Source organism: Homo sapiens, chromosome 13 (genome assembly GCF_000001405.40).
Source record: "Homo sapiens chromosome 13, GRCh38.p14 Primary Assembly".
Classification (NCBI taxonomy): Eukaryota; Metazoa; Chordata; class Mammalia; order Primates; family Hominidae; genus Homo; species Homo sapiens.
Genome location: NC_000013.11, coordinates 45,658,089 through 45,665,426, shown reverse-complemented (window position 1 = coordinate 45,665,426; position 7,338 = coordinate 45,658,089). Strand labels below are relative to the sequence as shown.

The 7,338-nt window shown below is 40.1% G+C and overlaps 1 annotated feature.

Moving 5' to 3' along the window:
- Window positions 5,936-7,135: an enhancer, noted in NCBI's record as "P300/CBP strongly-dependent group 1 enhancer chr13:46232427-46233626 (GRCh37/hg19 assembly coordinates)". NCBI's record gives its function as "activates an origin of replication core promoter dependent on BRD2, BRD4, P300/CBP, MED14 and CDK7 cofactors, with strong dependence on P300/CBP, by STARR-seq in HCT116 cells {active_cell/tissue: HCT116}" and the evidence as "EXISTENCE:reporter gene assay evidence [ECO:0000049][PMID:35650434]".

The window sequence follows — 7,338 nt, the reverse complement described above, 5'->3', positions numbered from 1 at the left end:
CAGAGATATAGACCAATGGAACAGAACAGAGCCCTCAGAAATAACGCTGTATATCTACAACTATCTGATCTTGGACAAATCTGAGAAAAACAAGCAATGGGGAAAGGATTCCCTATTTAATAAATGGTGCTGGGAAAACTGGCCAGCCATATGTAGAAAGCTGAAACTGGATCCCTTCCTTACACCTTATACAAAAATTAATTCAAAATGTATTAAAGACTTAAACGTTAGACCTAAAACCATAAAAACCCTAGAAGAAAACCTAGGCATTACCATTCAGGACACAGGCATGGGCAAGGACTTCATGTCTAAAACACCAAAAGCAATGGCAACAAAAGCCAAAATTGACAAATGGGATCTAATTAAACTAAAGAGCTTCTGCACAGCAAAAGAAACTACCATCAGAGTGAACAGGCAACCTACAAAATGGGAGAAAATTTTTGCAACCTACTCATCTGACAAAGGGCTAATATCCAGAATCTACAATGAACTCAAACAAATTTACAAGGAAAAAAACAAATAACCCCATCAAAAAGTGGGTGTAGGACATGAACAGACACTTCTCAAAAGAAGACATTTATGCAGCCAAAAAACACATGAAAAAATGCTCACCATCACTGGCCATCAGAGAAATGCAAATCAAAACCACAATGAGATACCATCTCACACCAGTTAGAATGGCAATCATTAAAAAGTCAGGAAATAACAGGTGCTGGAGAGGATGTGGAGAAATAGGAACACTTTTACATTGTTGTTGGGACTGTAAACTAGTTCAACCATTGTGGAAGTCAGTGTGGCGATTCCTCAAGGATCTAGAACTAGAAATACCATTTGACCCAGCCATCCCATTACTGGGTATATACCCAAAGGACTATAAATCATGCTGCTATAAAGACACATGCACACGTATGTTTATTGTGGCACTATTCACAATAGCAAAGACTTGGAACCAACCCAAATGTCCAACAATGATAGACTGGATTAAGAAAATGTGGCACATATACACCATGGAATACTATGCAGCCATAAAAAATGATGAGTTCATGTCCTTTGTAGGGACATGGATGAAATTGGAAATCATCATTCTCAGTAAACTATCGCAAGAACAAAAAACCAAACACCGCATATTCTCACTCATAGGTGGGAATTGAACAATGAGAACACATGGACACAGGAAGGGGAACATCACACTCTGGGGACTGTTGTGGGGTGGGGGGAGGGGGGAGGGATAGCATTAGGAGATATACCTAATGCTAAATGACGAGTTAATGGGTGCAGCACACCAGCATGGCACATGTATACATATGTAACTAACCTGCACATTGTGCACATGTACCCTAAAACTTAAAGTATAATAATAATTTTTTAAAAATAAATAAAAATAAAACTGTAAAAAAAAAAAAAAAAAAAAAATGCCAGGACCAATTGTAAAATCAAACATCATTCACTTGACTCCAGAGAAAGTACATTTTGGCCAGGCACAGTAGCTCATGCCTGTAATCCCAGCACTTTGGGAGGCCGAGGTGGGCAGATCACTTGAGGCCAGGAGTTTCAACCAGCCTGGCCAACATGGAAAAACCCCGTATCTACTAAAAATACAAAAATTATCTAAGTGTGGTGGTATGCACCTGTAGTCCCAGCTATTTGAGAGGCTGAGGCAGGAGAATCACTTGAAGCTGGGAGGTGGAAGTTGCAGTGAGCCAAGATCATGTCACTGCACTCCAGCCTGGGTGACAGAGCAAGACTTTGTCAAAAAAGAAAGAAAGAAAGAGAGAGAGAGAGAGAGAGAGAGAGGGAGAGAGAGAGAGAAAGAAAGAAAGAAAGAAAGAAAGAAAGAAAGAAAGAAAGAAAGAAAGAAAGAAAGAAAGAAAGAAAGAGAAAGAGAAAGAAAGAAGAAAGAAAGAAAGAAAGAAAAGAGAAAGAAAAAGGAAAAGGAAAAGAAAGGAGGGACATTCTGTCTGCTATGTTAAAAATCTGGGCACTCATTAAAAAGTCAGGAAACAACAGATGCTGAAGAGGATGTGGAGAAATAGGAACGCTTTTACACTGTTGGTGGGAGTATAAATTAGTTCAACCATTGTGGAAGACACTGTGACAATTCCTCAAGGATCTAGAACTAGAAATACCATTTGACCCAGCAATCTCATTACTGGGTATATACTCAAAGGATTATAAATCATTCTACTATAAAGACACATGCACATGTATGTTTATTGCAGCACTGTTCACAATAGCAAAGACTTGGAACCAACCCAGATGCCCATCGGTGACAGACTGGGTAAAGAAAATGTGGCACATATACACCATGGAATACTATGCAGCCATAAAAAAGGATGAGTTCATGTCCTTTGCAGAGACATGGATGAAGCTGGAAACCATCATTCTCAACAAACTAATACAAGAACAGAAAACCAAACACTGCATGTTCTCACTCATAAGTGGGAAGTGAACAATGAGAACACATGGACACAGGGAGGGGAACATCACACACCAGGGCCTGTCAGGGGATGGGGGGCTAGGGGAGAGGTAGCATTATGAGAAATACCTAATGTAGATGATGGGTTGATGGGTGCAGCAAATCACCATGGCACATGTATACCTATGTAATAAGCCTGCACATTCTGCACATGTACCCCAGAACTTAAAGTATAAATTAAAAAAATCTGGGCACTCATGGAGTAATGTTGGTATTGTAAACAATGGCTCACCAAAAATTTCAAGAACTAAATGAAATGAGATAGCTTCTAGGTCAGAAGATTATAAAGTCACAGCAAAAAGAATAATAGAAAAAGTATACGTATACGTATATGTTGTTCTGAGATTCACTGGGTGCAAAAGAAAAATATACTGTCCTTAGCAACTTAGCATCCTGCTTCCAGTGTAGCATCAATGAATGCCAGGAAATGAGATTTCAGAATATCTGAAATTCAACTGCAAACTTGCATTAACACTTAGGAAAGAGGAGGAGAACATAAAATGACAAATTTACTTGGAGTCTTGCAGACTCTTTTTTAGCCAAATTGCTGGTTTGAGACAGCTCATCATCTTTGTAAGAACATGAACTGCAGACTTGTCACTTTCCCTGCGCTGCATTAATACAAGCTGAGTGATTATGTGTCTGCCCTCCCCAGTCAGCAGCTGGTTCCTGTTCTCTGCTATGCAGTTAGAGTCAAAGAAAAGTCCTCTCAAGTGGATAATGAAGGACTGTCATCAGGCTCTATGATTGGATAATAATGGAATAAATGTTATTGATGAGCAGCACCTTTGTGCAGGGAATACAAGTCTCACTGACAGAACTTGGTTGAAGGCCCCTCAAGCACAGCATTCAGCTAACAAAATGCTGCTTTTAGTTGTTTCTGTTCCCTAGCCTGTCCTCATGGACTGCCACCTCCTTCTTCCACATAATCAGGCTTATTTCAATTCAGCCAATCACTTAAATTTGGAGCACACCTCCAATGAATGCCCTCCCACATATTCCAAGAAAAATACCGAGATCAGGGTCTATGAACGCTTTGGCATAGGAGTTAGTGTTGATCTGACTCTATCTGCCCACAAGAATATCAATAAATGCTTTGTGAGAAACAATAAATGTATGGAATGATTTATTAAGTACTTAAATTATGGTTTTTTTGTGCCCAGTACTTGGATTATTACATGCCTATAATAGTGTATTTTCATATGGAAACATAATTTAATCAGCACAAGTAACCTATAAGGATATCATTATGTTCATCTGAATAGGTGAAGAAACTGAAACATGGTATGTTATTTGCCCAAAGTCATGCAGCTGGTAAGAGTCTGATTCCAGACTCCATGTGCTTAACTTCTACACTGTGTTGCTCCTGCATGTGAGCAAAGGCCTCCCCTCACAGAACTGCCTCCCTGAAGCCAACATCAAGGCAGCCAGCCACATCTAGGTTGGAGAGACAGGCAATCAGAAGCTTCGTGCGCCCATTAAAATCTCCTTTCTGTTCTCTGTCAGGCCCTTCCCCATCAAATGCTGGCAAAGGGGCATGAAAGACAAAGGACAAGCCAATGCCCTCAAAAACCCATCTTCTTGTCCCAGATAGAATCTCATCTGGAATTGTAATCCCTACATGTCGAGGGGGCGACCTAGTGAGAGGTGACTGGATCACGGGGGTGGTTTCCCCCATGCTGTTCTCATGATATTGAGCGAGTTCTCATGAGATCTGATGGTTTAAAAGTGGCAGTTTCTCCTGAGCTCTCTCTCTGTCCTGCCTCCATGTAAGAGGTGCCTTGCTTCCCCTTCGCCTTCCGCCATGATTGTAAGTTTCCTGAGGTCTCTCCAGCCATGCAGAACTATGAGTCAACTAAATCTCTTTTGTTTATAAATTACCCAGTCTCAGGTAACATTTTTATAGCAGTGTGAAAATGAACTAATGCACTGTGTTTCTCCCAACTTTAGCCACTGTTTTGTCATTCATCCTAGCAAAGCATTGAGAAAGGGGTTGCACTCCTCTGCAGCTGGGACAGGTTAAATTCTAGAGTCCCTCTGTCTCCAAATTTCCAGAACTAAAGTTCTTGAATTATCAAGAGAGTGCATAAACCAGTATCTCTTTTCTGTATCTTTTTTTAAATTTTAAACTCAGAAGGTAGTATGGTTTGGCTCTATGTCCCCACCAAAATCTCATGTTGAATTGTAACTCCCAGTGTTGGGGGAGGGACCTGGTGGAAGGTGATTGGATCATGGGGGTGGATTTCCCCCTTGCTGTCCTCGTGATAGTGAGTGAGTTTTCACAGTATCTGATGGTTAAAAGCATGTAGCACTTCCCCCTTTGCTCTCTCTCTCTCTTTCCTGTCACCATGTGAATATGTGCTTGCTTCTGCCATGACTGTAAGTTTCCTGAGGCCTCCTCAGCCAAGATTTCTGTACAGCCTGTGGAACTGTGAGTCAATTAAATCTCTTTTCTTTATAAATTACCCAGTCTCAGGTATTTCTTTATAGCAGTGTGAGAACAGATTAACACAGGGAGTACATATGCAGATTTGTTACATGGATAATTGCATAATTATGAGATTAGGTCTTCTAGTGTACCTATCACCCCAATAGTGAACATTGTATCCAACTGTTAATTTTTTTTAACCTATAAACCAGTCTTAAAGCCTAGATGCAGCTCAGCTGAGATGCAATACTGAAGCCATCCTGCCCAAGGGATTGTGGTGCTTGATTGACACCAGATATCCTGTGTCCTAGTAGTCATGTAAATATACAATCAAGGAAATTGGCCTGGGAGGGTCCTCAAGGCCATTTATTCCAAACCTTTTTCACATGGTGGGAGACCTTTTCCCAAATCAATTCCTGCAATTTCATTTCACTGTGTCAAATCCTATTTGGTTATGGTGGTATTATCTTTTTTTTCTTTAAAAATAAACACAAAAAATCAATATATTCTCAAAGGGATTCTGTTCCATGTCCTTAAAGTATGGCTGGGTTTGGTAGTTCTAACTCCCTTTGTGTATTTTATTCCTGATTCTTACCTTCGGTTCACAGAGGACAAAAAAAGGGTGGTTTATGCCCTCCTCCCCCACCACTGTGGGCCATGCTAGCATTTGAAAAACTAGCACCTTCATTGCATGTGCCTGCTCTGTTCCTTCTTGCCCTGCCACCGAGAAATCTATAGGAATCAGGTTCACTGTGAAGCTAAAATAACTTCAAAATTTATTGTCACATCAGCATAATATCATCAGTTGATGAAATTCTTTTCTTGTACAGGTAAATTAAGACTAAACCAAACATTGACTTAAATCATTATCAGTAAGTCTATTCTAGCCTGGACAACATAGGGAGACCTCATCTCTACAAAAACATTTAAAATAAATAAATTAGCCAGGCATTATGGTGCCTGCCCGTGGTCTTAGCTATTTGAGAGGCTGAGGTGGGAGGATTGCTTGAGCCCAGGAGGTCAAGACTGCAGTGAGCCATGATTGTGCCAGTGTTCTACAGCCTGGGCAGTAGAGTGAGACCCTGTCTCCAAAAAAGTCTATATGCTTATTTAAATGCGATAATAGATATCAAACTGCTAAAACATTGTGCAGGATAAGGGGTGTGTGTGTGAGAGAGAGATGTATATGATACATACATGCATATATGTGTGTATATGAGATACATATGCATACATATGCCTAATATGTGTGTTTAAATGAAGTACTATTAGTTCAAATAGTTTTTCTTAAACAGCCCCCTTCAAAAAATTTCTCCACCCATGTGTATTAGTCATAGTTTCCAAATATGTTTAAATTGTCAGTCATCTGGGCCTGAGAGCAATTCTTCCTGATTGACTCAACTGGCCTTTCTGTGAGGGGATGGCTAAGTGTCAGAGGGCCAAAGGATTCACTGTAAAATTCCACTGTATGAGGGCTCATCTCACATTCTCTGCCCACACTCACTGACTCAATAGGGAATTTCTGCCAGAGGCTATTAAACGCTTTTTTAAAACTTGCTATGCTATTCAATGATTCTTCTTATAAATGATTTCCTTCTCACAACAACTGAAATGATCAATCAAGAGAGGTTTTCTGCAGAGAAAAGAAGAAATTTTACATTCCAGTGAGGACACGTTTTCACAAATTATAACACAGACTCCCACAGCCCACGCTAATGATGGCAAGAGCTTGCCAGAAGGCCCTGCTGTTTTGGTGAGGTATTCTTGTGGCAAGGCAGCAGTTGGCCAAAAGCAGAGACTCAATCCAAAAAGATCTAGTCAGAGAAAGCAAGATGGATGACCTTCATGAATTATTAGGTGGCCAGGCCATTAAGCAATGACCGTGACTTTCAGACCTCTGTTCTACCTTCGGAAAATCCAAGCCTAGGAAAACAGACTCAAACAGAAAATTACTGCTCATCCTCAGCAGGTACATCCTTCCTGTTACCACCAGCCACCCACTCCTGCCCCATGGCAAAGTCCTTGCATCCTCTAGTGATGATGGAAGATGGAGCTAGAGAACATTTTTTATGCCTTCCATGGACAGCATCATTAGCTTTATGCGATCTTCAACCACGCTGAATGAAAATTTCAAGGCACTTACGTATATTTTTCTATATTTATCTTTTTTCAAAGTTCAGAATTAATATGCTCATTGTAAAACATGAAACAACATAAAACTATTCATTTCAGTATACCTCCACCATGCTTACACCCAATTCTCCACTACTTTGCATCCAGAGTCAAAAGGCTGGTATATATTCTTCTGGAACTTTATCCTCACTTATTTATATGTATTCATGCAGACGTGCACATATACAAGAGGTTTTCTGGGTTTTTTAAGGGTTTTTTTTTGACAATATAAAATCACACTCTATACAGCATTCTACAACCT